The 21031-nt window shown below is 39.2% G+C and overlaps 1 protein-coding gene and 1 long non-coding RNA gene across 4 annotated transcripts in view, besides 3 other annotated features; one reads left to right on the top strand and one right to left on the bottom strand.

Moving 5' to 3' along the window:
- The window catches only part of EFCAB11 (EF-hand calcium binding domain 11), a 160109-nt gene that overhangs the window by 38820 nt on the left and 100258 nt on the right, over nucleotides 1-21031 (top strand). The window lies entirely within an intron of this gene.
- Nucleotides 1937-2822, bottom strand: LOC124903358 (uncharacterized). The gene is made up of 2 exons (XR_007064300.1): nucleotides 2720-2822; nucleotides 1937-2099 (listed from the first exon to the last, which is right to left on the bottom strand). It is a non-coding gene; the product is annotated as an uncharacterized LOC124903358 (long non-coding RNA).
- Nucleotides 3019-3313: a silencer, noted in NCBI's record as "tiled region #15055; HepG2 Repressive non-DNase unmatched - State 6:EnhF, and K562 Repressive non-DNase unmatched - State 24:Quies". NCBI's record gives its function as "represses a minimal TATA promoter and a strong SV40 promoter by Sharpr-MPRA in HepG2 cells, with weaker repression in K562 cells {active_cell/tissue: HepG2 | K562}" and the evidence as "EXISTENCE:reporter gene assay evidence [ECO:0000049][PMID:27701403]".
- Nucleotides 3580-4195: an enhancer, noted in NCBI's record as "NANOG-H3K27ac-H3K4me1 hESC enhancer chr14:90378107-90378722 (GRCh37/hg19 assembly coordinates)". NCBI's record gives its function as "activates a minimal SCP1, AML or CMV promoter by ChIP-STARR-seq in naive H9 embryonic stem cells {active_cell/tissue: H9 hESC(naive)}" and the evidence as "EXISTENCE:reporter gene assay evidence [ECO:0000049][PMID:30033119]".
- Nucleotides 4196-4813: an enhancer, noted in NCBI's record as "NANOG-H3K27ac-H3K4me1 hESC enhancer chr14:90377489-90378106 (GRCh37/hg19 assembly coordinates)". NCBI's record gives its function as "activates a minimal SCP1, AML or CMV promoter by ChIP-STARR-seq in naive H9 embryonic stem cells {active_cell/tissue: H9 hESC(naive)}" and the evidence as "EXISTENCE:reporter gene assay evidence [ECO:0000049][PMID:30033119]".

Genomic DNA, 21031 nt, shown 5'->3' with positions numbered 1-21031 from the left:
CACATGTCAAATGGCAGCATCCATCTTTGAGACAGGAATCTTGGTGGGAAAAGTTCAATTTTTTAACAAATGTGAAATTACCTCCTCAATCATTTTTATTTCCGGTTAAATTAATGTCTTATATAAACACTGTAGGCTAGCATAGTATTTGATACCATTTAGTTTGCTCTCTCTTTTAGTTCCTAATTTTCATTGTAGTTCTCAGTGTTTGCTTTTTGAGTGTGAGTTTATGGCAGAATAAATCAAATTAACTTTGGTGGGTAGATTGAGTTTTCTCTGATGACCTTTACTAACCAAAACATACTTTCTTCTCAGGTGAAAAAGCCAGAGTGGATTATTATTTATTTGACTGACAAAGAAATGCATTTCTAATTTTATTTAGTGACTAAAATAAATTGATTCACCGTAAATTAAATATGAAATAAATGCATGATCCTCTCTTAATGAACCAAACAGATTGAGAGCCGAGCACCTTTGCAGTACACCTCTTTCACCAGTTGGTGGTGCCAAAAACTCTGCTAAGAAACTGATTGAAAGAACAGAAGGTTAACCAGGAGCCTTTCTTAATAAGCGTTATTTTTCGTAGTTTTTGAAAAATTTGTACTGAAAACATATGCCCAAATTATCGCATTTTCTAAGGTTAGGAAGCAAAGCTAATCCCTCTGGTGACCAGCAGAATATATTTCTAGTAAGCTTCTGTAATAATGTCATTGGTCTATGTTAATATTCACATATTGGAAATTGCAAAGTTGTGTAACATCTGACTCCATCCTGGAAATAGCCTTTAGTGTGCTTGCCTGGAGAGTGGAGGAGCAAATGATAATAATGTGTACAGAGAAGAAGAGTGATGTTCCTGGCTATATTTATTGTCGAATTTAGGTCTTTAAAAATATTGACTTGCGTTATTATTACTATGTGTTTTTTTTTAACCATTAATATATTCCTGTGACAGCAGGAACATTGCTTTTTTGTGTGTGTGTGGGCGGGGGCGGCTAGGTTTGTTTAACCCTTTACTGTTTAGCCCTGAAAAAGTCCAAATGGAGCAGTAGCCTGTTGCTTGAATGTGTCCTGAGATACAGTCAAAAGAACCCAGCCTTTGGAGTCAGAGAGATCAGGTTTTGAATTTCCCTACATATTTCATAACTGTCTCTCTCTTTTTTTTTTTTCTTTTCGAGACCAAGGTCTCACTCTGTTGCCCAGGCTGGAGTGCAGTGGTGCGATCTTGGCTCACTGCAACCTCCACCTCCCAGATTCAAGCGATTCTCATACCTAAGCTTCCCAAGTAGCTGGGACTACAGGTGTGCACCACCATGCCCGGGTAATTTTTGTATTTTTAGTAGAGACGGGGTTTCACCATGTTGGCCAGGCTAGTCTCCAACTCCTGGCCTCAAGTGATCCGCCTGCTTCATCCTCCCAAAGTGCTGGGATTACAGGCGTGAGCCACTGTACCCAGCCTTTCATAACTGTCTTTTAATTACTTATGCAGATTTTTTACTGCTCAGTTTTTCCAGTTTGTAAAATGGAGATAATAACATCTTCCCCTCAGAGTTGGAGTAAACATCACCTGAGATAACGGATGTGCTGATTAAGTGCTCCTCACCCTGTCCTTTTCTAGTTTAAGCACAGACTCAGTTCTTTTTGAGCCTCCACCACATCCCATGCTCTTAGCCAGGGCCTTAGGACCGGAGTCCCTCCTTGGGTGTGATGATGCCTCATGCTGCGTTAATGAGAAGATGTTTCCAGGTTGTAAAGTTCCACAAGGATTTTGTAAAGAACTCACAAAAGAGATACTCATATTGTTAGCTATATGTGGTGTTCAGATATTTGCCCGTCTACCCTGGGATGTTTCCATGTTGATCTGAATCTGCCTAAATGTTTAAGATTGGAGAAGGGAGCACAGGGTTGCTGACAGGTGTAGCAACAGTGTCCCCAACAGTTCATTCATCCATTTATTCCACAAACTTTTACTCAACATTATTATTGCTGGGTCTCCGGCATACAAAGATGAATTCCCAGAGAGCCTGAAGATGCTTCTGAGAGCTGCAGACTCAAGGAGCAGGATGCTTTCTGCTTGGCAGGAATTGATAAGCAGCCCTGATCTATGAAAGAGCAAGAAAGATAAATTTAAATATTTTTTAAAATATTATTTTACAAAGTTATAAGACTGTAAAAAAAATTTTAACTTTGAAAAACTCTGATAGTTGTATTAAGCTTTTGATAGCATCATGTTTGGAAGAATGAGCAAATCAGAAGAAGCCTTCAGCGTGGTTGGTAAAGTCATAAAACACTGTTAATTAGGAGCTTTAGCCCAGTATAGAATTTTAAAATACAACTGTATAAGGTATATATATTTTTTAGGAATAGCACAACTAACATCTTTGATTAGATTCGATTGAAAGATTCAGACCCTTAAGATTTAGAGATTACGGAATCATAGAACTGGATGGTGGCTGGGACTTTAGGAATCACATATGCCATCTCCCTTATTTTCTAGCTAAGAAAATGGAAGTCAAACAAACGTATGTGACTCACCCAAGGTTACATAGACCTGGATCAAAACTCAGGTCTCCATGCCAAGACATTATTTTTCCATCCTAACTCCTATACAATGAGCCATTTTCAGTAGATAAATATATACTTGTCCCATCTCAATAAACTTTCATGCTAAATATGGAGTATCATGTCCGCCCTGTTACCAAAATGAAAACTTTGGCCGTACCTTCGGCAGTTAATTAAGGTGCTCCTACTTCCATCTCAGAGCTGAGCTGAGGGGAGGCAGGGCACACCAGGCCTGTCATGTGCAGTTCTCAGCCAGAGCCAGTGAGTTCCCCACAGAAGCAGGCAGCGTTTTCATTCACGCCTGCCTTGCCTGCTTCTCGTTTCTTGCTAGATGAATGGCATCATATGCCGCAGGTGTATTAGTAATTTCTGAGTTTGTTCCCCACTAAAAATGACCTCATTGTTTTGTGCTTCTTTTCCATAATTATACAGTAACAGGAAAATAAACCAGCTCTGAGTACAGCCCACAGCAGAAATCTTGTGCTCTTTATGCAAGTTTGATTTATAGACGTGTACTGCAGAGCAGAGTGACTATGAAACATTCATCTTCCCATTGCTAGTTGCCATGGAAATCGAGTACACAGAGCAGTGTCATTCCAGTCCTGGTGATGCCTGCAGTAGTTTATTCCTTTGTTGTTCCCGTTTCTTAAGCAACTGCCTAGCATTCTTTCATCATTACAATTAATCATGCACACAAGTTTTTATCTTTCGTCGCACATAGAAAGTACTAAAACGTATGACAAAAACAGGGAGAATTTAAATATTCCTATGGCTTTAAATATGCATTTGTAATTTTCATCCTCAGTCCCACTGGAAAAATAGGTCATGTAAAAAAAGCATATATTAATGTACAGATATTTCAATAGAGCAGTATAGAAATTTGAAGGAAAAACAATGCTAACTAAGCCCAGGAAGCCCAGGAAACCTTAAGGAACTTCAGATCCTGAGGGTCCCCCAGTGTTTAGATCTAAATCAGCCTGGGTAATGCCAATCAAAAAAGAAAAAAAAAGCCCCTGAGCTATGTATCATCAACTCCTGTTTTGATTTGTTAGTCTCCTTAACGGTTTGAACAACCTAGATATTTGCTGGATAGACATGCTAGACGTTAGAATAGAGATCCTTTTTCTCTTTAAAGGCCAATAAAGTTCAGGATTTTTTTTTTAAGTGGGAGTAAAAGGAATTCTAGTTTTTTCTTTTTTCAATGAAACCATTTTACCTCAGTTTTAACCCACATAGTTCATAGTCTATAGCATACCAACAATGAATAAATGCTTGTTGATTAGCCACTGCCTTCTTTTGTGGACTTCTGGCCATTCTGTTGGCTAAGAAAGCGTGTTCTAGAACAATTCTCTGGATCTAAATCCCTGCTGCATTGCTTATTAGCTGTGAGACCTTTGAAAAGTATCTCAGCTTGCCTTAGTTTCCCCATCTGTAGAGGGAACAGCTATAAAATTAAGATAATGACAGGTTGTTAGGAGGCTTAACAGGGATAATTCATGCAAATTGCTCAGCCCTGTGCCTGGCACAGGACACGTGCTCTGTCAGTGGGGACTGCTGCCGTGGCAGTGGTGGTTTCTATTGCCATGACTACTACAGGCCACAACTGAATGGAGAACTGTGCTCTGACCTAGAGAATAATACTTGGTTGATCTACAGCAATTCTAGCCCCAAAGCCGCAGGACTCTGTTCCCAGCATCCAGGCTCACACAATGATTGCTGGTGCTTTGTTGTGCTTGGGCTACATGGACTTGTTTCATCTCAAGACTGTGGATACTAGGATGGTGGCTGAGAAGTATTTACAGGGGTCTTTTTATCTGCAAATTGAGAAGAGAAGGCTGCTACAGGCAGTCCTTGAAGATGCAAATTTCTCATCTTTGACCTGGATTTGTTTCTTACAAGGAGCTGTGTGCGGAGCACGTTGGGAGGGAGTGGGCTGCCTTTACTTGTCTTGAGGAAGGTTCTCGTGTTTGTCTGCGTAGTCTGAAATAACGTCTGACCTACTGCCTCTCCACCCCCAAACCCCCCTTGTCACTCGGCAGTGCCTGCAGCATTCCTTCAGCCTTTCTGGAATTGAAGTTTTCCTAACTGGTGGCAGAAGCATTCTTTGTTGAAATTCACTCTCCTTGGCAGTTCTCCAGGGCACACGGCAATGCCTATTTATTTGATTTAGCCTTTGTTTGGTTAGCCTTGTATTTTGTCTGTTTTGCTTTGCGAAGTTCTTTTTTCCCCAAATTTTCATGTTTAAATCCCTTGGACTTCACTTCTATTTATTTTACTAGCTTGCTTTAAAATACTGCTAAAAGTTGTTTGCTTTAAGCTCTCACAAAATGAGTAGTCTTGGATTCATTTGTCTGTTTTCTCCAAGCCTGATCCATAGTGTGTGTACTAGGTGCACCTTTGTTAATTATTAAAACAAAATAGACTTTATGGTTTGTACTTTGTACATCCGAATATTATACTACATTGTCTCCAGTTCTCTTTATTTAGCTCTTTGTTTTTTTACCCTGTCCTCCAATCATTAGGCTCATGTTAATTCTAAAGAGATAGAAGTAGCTTAACTTTTCTGAATCTTTTCGTTCTCCCTCCTCTGCCATTCTTCCTGCTTCTTCCCACAATATAAAAACCCGTCCGACTCTCCTGTCTTCCGAGTGAAGCTGGCAACACTCCAAGTGACATGAGTACCCTAAGACACCCATTTTTTTGTAAGTAAACATTCAGTGACGAAACTTAGACCTTCTCTAGACATTTTTATGTATGTATGTATGTATGTATGTATGTATGTATGTATGTATGTATGTATTTGAGACAGATTCTCATTCTGTTGCCCAGGCTGGAGTGCAGTGACACAGTCTCTGCTCACTGCAGTCTCCGCCTCCTGGTTCGAGTGATTCTCATGCCTCAACCTCTCGAGTAGCTAGGATTACAGGTGCCCGCCATCACACCCAGCAAATTTTTGTATTTTTAGTAGAGATAGGGTTTCACCATGTTGGCCAGGCTGGTCTCGAACTCCTGGCCTTAAGTGATCCGCCTGCCTCAGCCTCCCAAAGTGCTGGGATTACAGGCGTGAGCCACTGCACCCGGTCACTAGACATTTTAAATCCTCTCAAGACCCCTGATTGTATGTGTGGCCTTCACCTCACACTTAACGTGGCCAAAATGCACTCCTGCCTTCTCTTTGTCCCCTAATCACTGTAAGAGAGATCTTTCCCTGTGCTCTTTTATTCTCAGGCTTATATCTTTCTTTGTTTTGGAAACACATATTTGTTAGAATCTTCTGCATTGCAGATACTGGGATTGTATGAAAATGAACAAGATAGAAACTGCTCTGCCCTTTAGGAGCTTAGAGTCTAGTTGAGGATGTAGGTGGTTAGAATCCAAGATGGTTAATCCTGAAAGATGACTACAAAGTACTATGGAGAAGAAGAACGCTTGCTGCAGACTGGGGAGGGGGCACCAAGGCTGACATCAGAGAAGTGATAGCCGGCGTGAGACCTGGAGGATGGTCTCCATTTGCCTGACTTCGCCTTAGCCAGGGAAGGAGGGAGGGCATATTCTAGACAGAGTGCATCTGCAGAGGTCAGCGGGAGAGCATGAATAACAGAGTTGTTACGCATAGTTAGCCTACTATCAAATACACCTATTTTTTTCAGTGGGTGGGTGGAACGAGAGATGAATGCAGAGTGATGAGACTGGAGAGATAGGCAGTGCCAGGTGATGAGGGTCTTGTAAGAGTTCAGACTTTATCCTGAGATACCGGGAAGCCATCGAAATGTAGGGAAGTGAGGTGATCAGACATTTTTTGTTTTGTTTTGTTTTTTGAGACAGAGTCTTGCCCTGTCGCCCAGGCTGAAGTGCAATGGCGCGATCTCAGCTCACTGCAACGTCCGCCCCCCCGGCTTCAAGCTATTCTCCCTGCCTCAGCCTCCCAAGTAGCTGTGATTACAGGTGCATGCCACCACTCCCAGCTAATTTTTTGTATTTTTAGTAGAGACGAGGTTTTGCCACATTGGCCAGGCTGGTCTCAAACTCCTCGCCATAGGTGATCCGCCCACCTTGGCCTCCCAAAGTGCTGGGATTACAGGCGTGAGTCATCATGCCCAGCCGATGTGATCAGACTTACATGATCTCTCCTAGTGTAGTGTGGAGAATGGATTAAAATGTGGCAAGAATAGCCTCTATTTGGGCTGATCCTAGGGACCGTTTTCCCAACTCAGCCTTCTCTTTAACTCCACAGTGTTTGTCCAGCCCAGCATGCATTTTTCTGATTAGCATGAGGGTTCATCTCAAACATCAGCTCCCTTTCTCTAGCTTCCTGTCTTAAAGGCCAGGACTGTGTCTTTTCCCTAGCTCTGGGCTGGCTCTTACTCTACACTAAATGTGTCATCTGGAGCACCAACTGGATCCAGGCTTTACCATTGCCCAGAGAGTCTGTTGTTTTGCCTACTATCTTGGCTCCCCTGGGATTTTGGTGCCAGCTTAGATCTAGCCTGAGTTCAGTGATCTCCTTTGACCCCTGAAATTCATTGCCATTCACACGTTGGCTCTTCCTGCTCAGCCAGTCTAGAACAAACCTGCCGCTGAGGGAATCCCTCTCTTTTCCCACTTGCAGTTGAGTATCCTAGATACTTCACAATTGATCTCCATTGTATACCTACATAGAACAATACCTTCGATAAGATGGATTGAGGTAAGGTGAGGAGAACCAGCTACAGGTTGAGTATCTCTTATCCAAAGTGCTTGGGACCAGAAATGTTTCAGATTTTTTTATTTTTTCAGATTTTGGAATATTTGCATATCATAATGAGATAACATAAGAATGGGACCCAAGTCTAAACACAAAATTCATTTAAGTTTCATATATACCTTATACACAAAGCCTGAAGGTAATTTTATACAATATTTTTCATAGTTTTGTGCATAAGAAGTTTGTCTTAAATACTTATGTATGGAATTTTCCACTCGTGGTGTAATATTGGTACTCAGAAAGTTTCGGATTTTGGAGCATTTCGGAGTTTGGATTTCCAGGGCAAGTTACTTAACTTCTCTGTGCCTTAGTTTCTTCATTTATAAACTGCAGGTATTAAGAGAACTTACACCAGAGTTGTTTGGAGGATTAAGCGAGCGAATGCCTGTCAAACACTGTGCCTGGCCCATAACTAGCTCTCACTGCTTATTCATGTTGTTATTATGGTGTCTAGACTTAACCCTAGGGAAAGTGGGAGAACATAAAAGGTTTTTGACTTCAGGAATATTTGACAACAGACAAATGGGTATTAATCTTGAAAGGTCCACCCCTCCTCTTCACTGTGAATAATTGAGAGATGACAGTGGTATCACATCCTGCCCAGCTGGGGGGCTATTCCAGTGAGTAAATAGATGTGAGGGAGTGATAAAAATAGCTAGCTGATATCTAGTGCTCACTGTGTGCCAAGCCCTGTTCTAAATGCTTTACTTGCCTTAACTCATTTGATCCGCACAACGACCCCATGAGGTGGCTACTGTGATTGTTCCCATTTTACTGACGAGGCAACAGGTACAAAGCAGCTGAGTGACTTAGCTAAGATCCCATTAACTGCTGGAATTTGGCTTGGACCAGACAGTCTGACTCCACATTGGAAACACAAATAGATACAGCCACCGTGTAAAGGAGGATCTTTGCCTTTCCTTTTTCTCTCTCCCCACAGGTGTACCCTTAAAAAGGGATTTTGAATCTCTTTATCAATCAGATCTATTACAGTCTGTAAATTTTGAAGGAACCATTTTATTTAAAGGCCTTTCCAGTTCAGTTTCAATAGAATAAAGATCTAGACAGCATATAAATTTTCATAGTAAAAAATAGAGCTATATAATCTATGACCATAACCCTTTTCATAGCCCTAAGGTTGGGGATATATGAAAACACATTAGCTGAATTGTACATTCTTTTTATAAAATGCCTGATTTCTGGCAATTTGGTCATACAATCTTTTGATAAAAATATCAAAAACCTCATACTGCAATACTGTAAAATGTGACTCTGTTAATGGCCAAAAACATCTGTATTTTTTACTGTCATGAACTGTTTAAACATCATCATAATAGGAAACATTTATGACTTAAATAATTGAAGTCTACATTTCTCAGAATCCACCTGCTCATCTCAACCTTTTGTTAGACCCTCAAACAAATCACAGAATTGACAGGCTTGAGTTTCTCTGTAACTCTTTCTTCTCCATCATGGGGTGGTAGGATGTGCAGGGGCTGTTGGTCAGTTCTTCCAAGTTTGAATGTCATAGTCGTGGGAAACTGATGTAGGCATCTGTCATGGGAAACTGATGTAGGGAAACTGATGTCTGTTAACCTCCCTGGACTTCAGTTTCTACTTCTGAAGGACTTCTAGCTTTAAAATACCTTGATTCTCTCTTTCTAAACCTTTTGTTTACTCACTCTTTAAAGAATATTATAATTAATAGTACAGTGATCTAATGGTAAGAAATAGAGAAGAAAAAATAATTTGGTTTCATTAATTTCATTTAACATTATTTCACAAAAGTTCATTAAGCACCTACTATGTGCATGATAAATACTTGTTTCACAGTCCAGTATACTAATAATGTTAAATTCTCAAACTGACTTGGGATTTTCCTTCCCTCAGTTTTCCCATTGCTAATGTTCCCCTCCTGGCTACAACATTACCATAAAATGTTATACTCTTTAATCTTATTTTCATATTCCCCAAACAAAACAAAACAAAATCTTTCATCTCAAAGGGATTTTTAGCATGTTGCAAATTATCATTAAATCACACACAATTTTCTGTCTTCAATTTTTCAATGTAAAAAACCACATTTTAAAACCTACTAGGTTATATTTCTTAGGAAAAACCGTAGACATCAAATGTTCACTTCTAATTTAGATGCGTCAGCTGACATACTAGTTTCAATGAGTTGCAGTAATGAATTTGTCATAGAATTGAAGCCATTTTCTAGCTATAAATCGCCCAAACCCAAATGCTATAGGAAATTTACAAGGACTGCCATTAGAATAGGATATTTTAAATTATCTCAGTTGTATTGAAACAAAACCAAACCTGATTAACAGATATATCAGGTAATCATGAATTGATGTGACAGAAAAGAGTTATTGGGCTATTTGTCAAATGATAAACTGGATGATGATGATGGGGAAAGTTACCTTTAATTTATTTATTTATTTATTTATTTATTTATTTATTTATTTATTTATTTTAGTGCTCTAATGAGTGCCAGGCATTGTCAGTATTTCATGTAATCCTCATGATAACCTTATGAGATGTACAGTATTACTATTTCTATTTTACAGATAAGAAAACTGAGCTTGGAGAGGTTAATGTTCCCAAAGTCCCACACTTTAAATAGCTGAAAATGTTTCACATTGCTTGTTGTCACCTTGAGTTCACCATATTTAAAGTGAAAGTCATCATCCTCATCCCTTGTTGTTCTTTCTGTTTCGTCAGTGATATCATGATTTTCTGTTTCATTCTTGCAGTCATTGATTTTTCCTTTTCCGTCTTTGCTCTAAATCCATTCAATTACCAAGTCCCTTTCCTCATTCAGTGTCTTTCTGCTGTCAGCCCTCTTCTCATCACTTAGTGTCTAGGCCTCCCAACTAAATGTACAGGCTAAAGGCCAAACTCCATAACTCGGTCCTCAAGGCTGGCTACTCTCTGACTCCTCCTCTTCTTTTAGGCTCTTTTTCCTGTTACTTCTCTCCAGATGAACTAGTTACCTAAATACTTTGTGCGCATTTTCTACATCCCCTTATGCAAATGATAACTCTTGAGATGGCCTCTCCCCTGTTCCCTGGTCCGTGAGCCCTGTCCCTTCCTCAGCATGAGACTGGGTCCTCTCCTGAAAGATGTGTTTTGATCAGCTCATTCCTCAGTGAGTATCCCTTCTTTTCAATGCTTGTGACAGTAGGCTCTATACCTGTCATTTTGCACTAAGCACGTGCCACCTGACTAGCATTGCTGTACAACTCTTCATCAATGTGATCTGTCTCTCTCTTAGTGGTGGTTAGGACTGGGTCTAGATCTCTCCCTAACATGTGGAACATTGTTCTATACCTAGAAAGTACAAGTCTTCATGCTTCGTGTGCATGGGTAAGGAGAGGAATTTTTATGGTAACTATAGTAAATATCTCACATATTGACTTCATTGACTTAAGAGATCTCCTGTGAATCCTCCAAGCCTTATTATTCAGACCCATTTCACTAGAAAGGGACCACATGTACTCATAGGATACAGTGGTAGATTGTTTGCAGAGATGGTCACAGCTCCTTCCATCCCTGTGCATGCACCTGTGTAAAGTGACTTGGCTCTCTTCCCAGCAGGAGGAAGAATTTATTTCTTCACTCCCCAAATCAAAGCTGACTTGTGACTTACTTTGAGCAAAGAGCATAGAAAAAACTAATAAATCTCAAAACCTGAGGGGTGGTCTAGGTGACCACCCCCAACAAAGGATCCCATCTGGGAGAAAATTTTTGCAATCTACCCATCTGACAAAGGGCTAATATCCAGAATCTACAAAGAACTTAAAGAAATTTACAAGAAAACAACAACCCCATCAAAAAGTGGGCAAAGGATATGAACAGACACTTCTCAAAAGAAGATATTTATGCAGCCAACGGACATATGCAAAAATGCTCATCATCACTGGTCGTCAGAGAAATGCAAATCAAAACCACCATGAGATAGCATCTCACTCCAGTTAGAATGGCGATCATTAAAAAGTCAGGAAACAACAGATGCTGGAGAGGACATGGAGAAATAGGAGCAATTTTACACTGTTGGTGGGAGTGTAAATTAGTTCAACCATTGTGGAAGACAGTGTGGCGATTCCTCAAGGATCTAGAACTAGAAATACCATTTGACCCAGCCATCCCATTACTGGATATATACCCAAACGATTATAAATCATTCTACGATAAAAACACATGCACACGTATGTTTATTGTGGCACTATTCACAATAGTAAAGACTTGGAACTAACCCATATGTCCATCAATGATAGACTAGATTAAGAAAATATGGCACATATACACCATGGAATCCTGTGCAGCCATAAAAAAGGATGAGTTCATGTCCTTTGCAGGGACATGGATGAAGCTGGAAACCATCATTCTAAGCAAACTCACAAGGACAGAAAACCAAACACTGCATGTTCTCAATCATAGATGGGAGTTGAACAATGAGAACACATGGACAGAGGGTGGGGAACATCACACACCAGGGCCGGTCAGGGGGTAGGGTGCTGGGGGAGGGATAGCATTAGGATAAATACCTAATGTAAATGACGAGTTGATGGGTGCAGCAAACCAACATGGCACATGTATACCTATGTAACAAACCTGCATGTTGTGCACATATACCTAGAACTTAAAGTATAATAATAATTAAAAAAACAGATATGTTTGTGTTAGGGTTCTCTAGAGGAACAGAATTAATAAAATATGGGTATAAATATATAAAAAAAAGGAATCCATCTGATGCCATGCCTTTTGCCACATTAGCGCCTGAGTTTTTGTTCCATTGTGTACATATGATAGATGTGGTTTGAGATGCTTCTTTAACCAAAGTTTTAATGCATTTCAAAGTTCTGCACTTCTAAGAAGTGATCTTAAAGGTAGATAATAAATTGTGGTTATTCACATGCCCTGATACCATAGTTCTGTTTTATCTCTTGTAGTTTCTTGAACGTAGTCCAAAATTAACATTGATTTAAAGTGCTAATATTTTCTCAGATCTATTTTTAAAACTTTGCATTCTTGTGTTCTTCATTTGCAAACACCCAGAATTGCCCCCCCCCTTCTCTTTTACCCATTATAAGGAAACAAGTTCTCTATTCGTCAAATAGCAAAACAGCCTTTGCTTAGCAGTGTATATTTCACTTTTGTGCTAAAGCTGTATCCCAGTAACATTTTCTTTCACTGAAAATGACCATTTCTTCCTGGAGTATATAATTTTTTTCAAATGCGTGAAGTTTTCAAAATGAAACCATATCAGACAGAATGATCTTTGGCTTTATGAAAGTGGAATATTTTTTATAGTTCTGTGGTTGTTCATTATTTTAAAACCTATTAGTTACAACAGGTTAGCTTGAAAAATGAGGAGGTTTAAATCTGAGACAAAATATCTCACTATAATTAGATTCTGAAACTGTGCCAGCAAAATTGTGTTTGAACGCTTCTTGAATTTGTTTTGTAAGGGGTAGCTTTCTGTTTTAAATGTGTATTCAGTAAAACACAGTTATTCAAATTCTACTAGACATGTAGGAGAGCCAGATTCATGTGTAACGCAGATGCGGCATTGTTCATGGGGCTGTTTCCTCCTAATGACTGACCTAATGTGTTGTGTCTCCTTTTTCTGGCTGAGAGAAGGAACCACATTTTAGAAGCATTTTATTCAGTAATATGTTCACATTGTGTTTCACCTCTTGCTATCTCTTATACTACAAGAATACCTGTGACGTATTGAGATAGCTAATATCATTGCTAGAAAAGTACAAGGTAATTTGGATAGAAAATAATGTAATAGCTTTAGTAACAGAATATAATTAAATTAGTGCCTAGAGTAAAAATAGTGAAAGGATTTATTTTTAGTCTTGAATGGCTTAGATCAGTATGATTAAAATACGTAAATTAAATAACAGCATTTAGTTCAGTGGTGTTCTGAGTGGTATCAACTCTCTCTAATATCTAATCTTAAGTGTTAATAATCTAATTCTAAGTATTCTATTTTCCTCTGCCCTCCCCCATTTTTAAGTAAACCCAATATGAATTAGATAAAATAGGGAACACATTTGTTATATTCTTGGAAGCCTTGAGATTAAGGATTTTAAATTGGGCTGGCATATTTTTATTAATCTACTGGAAAGTGGTTATTGGAGCACCTTCTGTACACCAGGGGCCATTCTGGATGCTGAGAATAGAGCCACCAACACAGCAAACAAGGTCCCTGCTGTCAGGGAGTTCACAGTTTCCTTGGGAGAAGACAGATAATAACTGAGTAAGCAAGTTAATTTCAGATAGAGATAAAACACTGCAAGAAAAGTAAAACAGAATAAATTATAGAAAACGTTTGAATGGGGAAGGGGTTGCTTAAAATTGGGAAGTTAGGGAAGATGTTTTTGAGGGCTGACATTTGAACTGAGACCTAAATGACGAAGAGCCATCCAGAAAGAGGAAAAGCAGTTGCAAAGGGTCTGAGATGGGTATAAGCCTAGAGGGACTGAGAAACTAAAAGAAAACCAGAGTGGCTGGGTTGCAGCGAACAAGAGGCAGCAAGGTCTGAGCAAAATTTGAGAGGTAGGCAGGGCAAGATGCTGTGTTAGTCATGGGTGCTACCTCTTTCTTTTATATGACGGTGAGTAGCCCTTATCGGAAATGCATGAGACCAGAAGTGTTTTGGATTTTGGATTTTTTTTTTTAGATTTTGTAATATTTGCATTATACTTACTGGTTGAGCATGCCCAATCTGAAAATTTGAAATCTTATACATTCCAATGAACATTGTCTTTGAATATCATGTATAATATCAAAAAGTTTCAGATTTTGGAGCTTTCAGATTTCAGATTCTGGATTAAGGATAACTCAACCCATATTATATTCTGTATTGTGTTACATTCCATTATGTCATATCATATTTCACACCATGTTGTGTATTTATATTGTATTATATATTTATGTCCCTGTACCTTACAGGGAAATGAAGAGTCAAAGAAAGACCTTAGATTTCTCAAGATATGTAGGTTTTCTGGCATTCCCAGTGTACAAAGTCATGCTAGTGGGTTGCTGTATCCTGGCTTGGGGTCCCCAGCTTCTTTTCATGTTTCTTTCCCATTGTCAGTTAAATTCAGTTCAACAGATATTTTCTTGGTGCGTGCTGGGCCCAAGAAACGGATGAGTCCACTTGGGCCATTTTACAGATGAATGCAGATGAAATTGTGATAGGCTTTCATTTTAGAGTAACTTTCCTAGATTATGTCTATTATTTCAATTAGTGAGCACCTATCTTTTGTACCATCTTTTTTATCCTTAGGTTACAAGCAGTAAAATGATCATAAGGGCCAAATATCTAATCTAAATGGCAGTGATATGTAATGTTAACATAGTCATCATTTGTTTCTCTCCACTGGCGATACAAGACATAAAAAAGTGATTTTGAGTCCTGCTTATGCATCACACCAAGAAGTGTTTATCATTTGAATACCTCTCTTCTGGGAAGAGTAGGGGTAAGAAGTTTTAAAAAAATTAGCAGTTTAATAAAATATGTGAAAGTTTACAAATATATATGCTTTTAAATGAGGCAACACAGATCTTCTGTTATGATGGTTATGATTCAGAGTGTCTGATTTACACTAGAGGATCAGGAAATAATGTAGACTATTTCCTTTCCCCGTGTCTTCATACCATATGTAGTCATAATATACTGACTTAAAATTTCCACCGAATTAAACTTTCCAGTGATTTATAAGACGTTGAAATGCATTACCAAGAGCAGTTATTGAATCTTCCTTCAGAGATAATTAACGAAAAGACTGTTATTAAAAAAGAAAAAAAGCAATAATTTACCTTTCATGTTGGCAAAGGTAAGCTCTAGAAGTCTTTCTGTGATTTGCTGATATTAATTCCACTCCCTGGATGTTTGTTTTGCTTTATTCTTTCTAACTCTCCCTGATTCTGTGGTTTAATAGATTTTCCTCCTGTTTAGAATAAAATTGTAGAAGTCAGTACCACATTTAGTATCTATCTCCAGGCATGGCCAATCCTTCCCACTGGCTGTGTTCCGGAAGGTTCTGGAAAACAGCTGACAAAGCCTGAATGTGACAGGGCAAGACATTTTAGGCAGCCCTCATGGCTTTTTCAGCTGTGCTTCTTATTTTCTTATAGATGTATGTGTGGTATGTAAGTGTGTATGATGCATATATGAAATATTCAAGTCAGAAAATTTGTCCATTTATGTTCCTCCCAGGTTACGAAACAAAATATTCCATTCTAGCCATGGTTAAAGCCCCCTGGGTAGCCCTGCCTGATTGCCCTAGAGATCATCACTGTCCTGATTTTTTTTTAATCATTCGTGTATGTCTTTATATTTTATGACATGGATTTATATATCTTAAATAGTACAGAGTATTGGTTTGCTTATTTTTATACCTTATATAAATGCATATTGCTTTTTCTCTTATTATATTCTTAGGAATTATCCACATTGATCCATGTGTCTTTCATTTATTCTCCCTACTGTATAGTATTCTGTTGGGGCACCAGGGGGCACAATAACCAGCACCTTCTTTTCCCCTCCAGAATCAATTGAAAATTCGACTCCAAGTGCAAGAGAGTAATAGATAGAAATTTCAGCTTTCTTAGTGACATAGCTCTATTGGAGGGATTGGTTTGCTAAAATACAGCCCACATTAAGCAGGTTTACCCTTTAGAGTGGAGTGGCAGGGTCTTTAGTGTATTCATATCAGCAGTTGACTTGTTTCCCAAGTGGTTGGGCCAGTTCACAGTATTACCCTCAGTGCACCAGAATTCCTTTCTATCCATATACTCACCAGCACTTGTTACTGAACTCTAGTTTTTGCCAATTTGATGGGTGTGAAATGGCATCTTATTGTGATTTTTAATTTTTCTCATTACTTACAAAGTTCATCATGTCTCCTAGCCCTTTGGGTTTCCTGTTCAATGTCAATTTCCTATTTATGTATTGGCCCACATAAAAAATATTGCATAGTCTATTTTAAAATGATTTATAGGGGCTCTTTACATATTCTGGGTACTAATTATTCCTTATGTGTGAGTCACAGAAATTTTTACCCACTTGTGGCCTGTCCTCACTTTTTGTGGGGGAGGGATTATCTTTTGATATATAACAGGACTATATATTTTCCCAGAGGTTTTAGAGAGAACGTGAAAAAAAGAAAAAAGCCTGGGACTGTTTGGCATGTCCAAAGTCTAGAATTTTGGAGAGCATGTGTGTAGTGTTACTTGAGCATGTAAATGGGGTCTCCCTGGTGATTTTCTGCCTATTGCAATACTCACTTTGAACAGTTGCTCATCTTTCTTTTTCTATATTAGCCAGTTTGAATATTTCTCTAAGATTTACATTATGTTTCAAGTTATTTTACATTATAGAATTAAATGCTTACTGCTTAAATTATGATTTTTTAGCCTCAGTATAGTTGCATGAAAAGGCTATACCATAAAACAAGTGTGACCTACCAAAAAGCAAATTTGTCTACCACTTGGCAACTCTCTACGTGTAACACAGCTTTTGCATTTTAGCTATTCTGATGGCAATGCTGTATTAATATTTCATTCTCTCCGTAGAGTTTGTGGACATTGTCATCATCCGAAGGCATTTGAGTACTAAATTGCATATGATGATACTTATAAAAGAAAATTGCAGGCCAAGCATGGTGGCTCACTCCTGGAATCCTAGCACTTTGGGAGTCCGAGGTGGGAGGATGGCTTGAGGCCAGGAGTTCAAGACCAGCCTGGGCAACATAGCAGGACCCCGTCACTACAGAAAATGAAAAAAAATTAGCTGGGCATTGTGGCACACCCCTGTAGTCCCAGCTACTCAGGAGACTGAGGCAGGAGGATCCTTTGAGCCCAGAAATTGGAGGTTTCAGTGAGCTACGATTGTACCACCGCACCCCAGCCTGGATGACAGAGTGATACTTTGCCTCCTTAAAAAAAAAAAAAAAAAAAAGAGGCCAGGCGCGGTGGCTCACATCTGTAATCCCAGCACTTTGGGAGGCCAAGGTGGGTGGATCACTTGACACCAGGAGTTCAAGACCAGCCTGGTCAACATGGTGAGACACTGTCTCTACCAAAAATACAAAAATTAGCCACACATGGTGGCATGGGCCTATAGTTCCAGCCACTCAGGAGGGTGAGGCAAGAGAATTGCTTGAAGCTGGCAGGTGGAGGTTGCAGTGAGCCGAGATCGTGCCACTGCATTCCAGCCTGTTCAACAGAGCAAGACCCTGTCTCAAAAAAACAAAACAAAACAAAAACAAAAACGAGAAAAAGAAAATCACATCATGATTTTGCTAATTCTTCATAAGAACAGTTTCTTGTAGGGTCATGCATAGATTTTCACCATAAAAAGAGCCTCAAAGAGCATGTGGTACAGTCTCTTATTTTACACATGCGAGGATAAATGACCCATGCAAGGCCTCACACCTTGTTGGGGGTGAATGTGGGCATGGAATAGGATTAGGACCCAGGGTTCTTGGCCCCTGGCACAGTGTGTTTTCCATTGTAATGGATTATAGAATAATAATGTTATTCTTTATTTTTATAAAGTTGGTGTGCATTTCTAGATTTCCTTAGCTAGAATTCCTTAGGTTTCACAGAAACATAGGTTTCAGTGCTTTTAGCTTTTTGTTGATGACATCTTTTCAGTTTCTTAGTACTGAAGGAACTGTTCATCATACTTGCTTAAATTAGCTTTATGGAAATAATGTATACTGTTTTCCTTCCTTATTTTCAACCGTATTTACATGCTAGTCTTTCCAACAGGTTGTATAAATAAGTTAAATGTTATGGTAAATTATTCCAAAATGGCATATTAAGTTTGCATAAATTAAAACTATGGTGTAATACTATGAATCAGATTGTAACTAGATGTAAATTTGTAAATGTGTATAGTTAATTTTTTAAACATAATTTTTCCATGTGCGACTGCTTTATTTAAGTTAGTGTGTTTAACAATAAAATTAATGCAGTCAACCCGAGAACTACAATATTACCATTAACTCACATATACCCGCACACTCCTCCATCCTATCTTCCTGCCTTTTTCCATAGGAACCAATATCCTGAAGTGAGTGTTTATTATTCCCGTGCTTTAAAAATACATGCACACGGCTGGGCGCGGTGGCTCATGCCTGTAATACCAGCACTTTGGGAGGCCGAGGTGGGTGGATCACGAGGTCAGGAGATCAAGACCATCTGGCTAACACAGTGAAACCCTGTCTCTACTAAAAATAGAAAAAATTAGTTGGGCTTGGTGGCATGCACCTGTAGTCTCAGCTACTCAGGAGGCTGAGGCAGGAAAGTTGCTTGAACCCTGGAGGCGGAGGTTGCAGTGAGCGAAGATCACGCCACTGCACTCCAGCCTGGGTGACAGAGCAAGACTCCATCTCAAAAAAAAAAAAAAAAAATGCACATATACATATATATACCTATATGTTTCTCTAATGTTTAATCTTCCTTGTTTTTAAACTTTGTAAAAAAGAATTTCAAATGTATGTAGTCTTTGTGACTTGCTTTTTTTCACTCAATAGTGTTTCTAATATTTATCCTTGTTTTATCTATAATTCACTCATTTAAAATGTGTTTAGCGGCTGGGCACAGTGGTTCACGCCTATAATACTAGCACCTTGAGAGGCCAAGGCGGGAGGACCTGTCAAGGCCAGGAGTTCAAGACTCGCCAAGCAGTAAGCAAGACCCCATCTCTACAAAAAATACAAAATAAAAATTAGCCAGGTGTGGTGGCACATACATATAGCCCTAGCTACTGTGGAGGCTGAGGTGGGAGGATCGCTTGGGCCCAGGAGTTCAAGGCCTGCAGGAGTTTGAAGATGCAGGAGTTTGAGGCTTCAGTGAGCTATGCTCGTGCCACTGCTCTCCAGCTTGGGTGACAGAGGAAGATCCTGTCTCTAAAAAAATAAAATAGTATAGCATTCCATTGTATGGATTTACCACAGTTTGTCTTTGTTTCCTTTTTCTCTTCTTATTAATACTGTATGAACACTTTTGTGTCATAATTCCTAGTGCCCATGTGCAATGCTTCTCTGGATATGTACTTAGGAATGGAATTGCTAGGTTGTAAGGTACACGAATGTTTACTTAGATAGTGCTGGAATATCATAATGCCAAATGATATTTTCAATAATTCATATCAATTTACATTCCCACCAACAGTATATTCTGTTGATGGGCATCCTCTCCAACTCTTGCCAGGCTTCTTTTTTTTTTTGAGACAGAGTCTCGCTCTGCCACCCAGGCTGGAGTGCAGTGGCACGATCTCGGCTCACTGCAAGCTCCGCCTCCCGGGTTCACGCCGTTCTCCTGCCTCGGCCTCCTGTGAGTGAGTAGCTGGGACTACAGGGGTCCGCCGCCACGCCCGGCTAATTTTTTGTATTTTTAGTAGAGACGGGGTTTCACCATGTTAGCCAGATGGTCTCCATCTCCTGACCTCGTGGTCCGCCCGCCTCGGCCTCCGAAAGTGCTGGGATTACAGGCGTGAGCCACCGCGCCCGGCCGCCAGACTTCTTAATCTTTCCCGGTTGAGTGGGTTTAATATCTCATTGTCGGCTTGATTTGTATTACCCTGATGGATGATGAGTTCTCTCTCTTATCTCTTCACATTTACTAGTCTCCTCTGTGACATACCTGTTCATGGTTTTTACCCATTTTTCGATTGCATCTTCTATTGATTTGAATGTGTTCTTTATATGTGTTCTCAGTACAAATATTCGGTCTAGTTAACAAATATCTTCTCCCAGCTTGTGACTTGTCTTTTCACTTTCTTCAAGTGACTTTTCAGACATAAGTAAATTTAGTTTGGTTAAATTTATGAATCTTTGTCATAGTTAGAGGGCTGGTGTCCTGTTTAAGAAACCCTTCATTACCCCCAAAGTCAGAGACCTATTACCTATATTTTCTTCATAAAATTTACAGTTTTGCTCTTGAAAATTAAATCTGTAATTCTTCTAGAATTGATTTATGAATAGGGCGTGTGTGAGAACCCAGTTTCACCTTTTCCATATGGACAATCAGTATTTTCAGCTTTGTTTATTGAATGTGCCCTCTTTTCTCTGCTGTTCTGCTTTGCTGCCTCTGCTCCTGTGTTTTCTGTTGTTTCACTGGTCACTTAATCTGTCTCTGCACCAATTTCTCACTGTCCTCATAAAATCTTAATACCAGTAGGGCAAGTCTCCCTCCTTATTTTTCGTCTTTAGCAGTGTGTTGATTATTTCCAGCTCTTTGTTTTCTCATAATAATTCCAGAAACTAGCTTGTTAAAAACCAGAAACTGTTCAGATTTCGATTAACATTGACTTTACAGATGAATTTCTGGAAAGTTGACATCTTAATAATATTGTCTTCCTATTCATAAATATATTTTTCATTGGATATTTCAGAAAATTCTTTTTCTGAACCATCACACTGCTGTCACCATCATAATCACATTGGTTTTCACTTACGCTGTATTTCTTATATGCCAACCCCCATTCTATTTGTATGCAGTTTTTACAGCAGTCTTTTGAGGTAGATCCTATTATTATGAAATATTGCACATAGGAAACTGAGGCACAGAGAGGTTAATCAACTCACTGTAGATCACACAGCTAGTAAATAGTAGAGGCAAGATTCTAGCCCAAGGTGCTTGGATATAAAGTTCATACTTTTAATTACTACTCTATATTGCACACAGCTT

This window comes from Homo sapiens, chromosome 14 (assembly GCF_000001405.40).
Source record: "Homo sapiens chromosome 14, GRCh38.p14 Primary Assembly".
NCBI lineage: Eukaryota > Metazoa > Chordata > Mammalia > Primates > Hominidae > Homo > Homo sapiens.
Note: the sequence above shows the minus strand (reverse complement) of the source record. Positions and strands in the feature narration are given on the sequence as shown.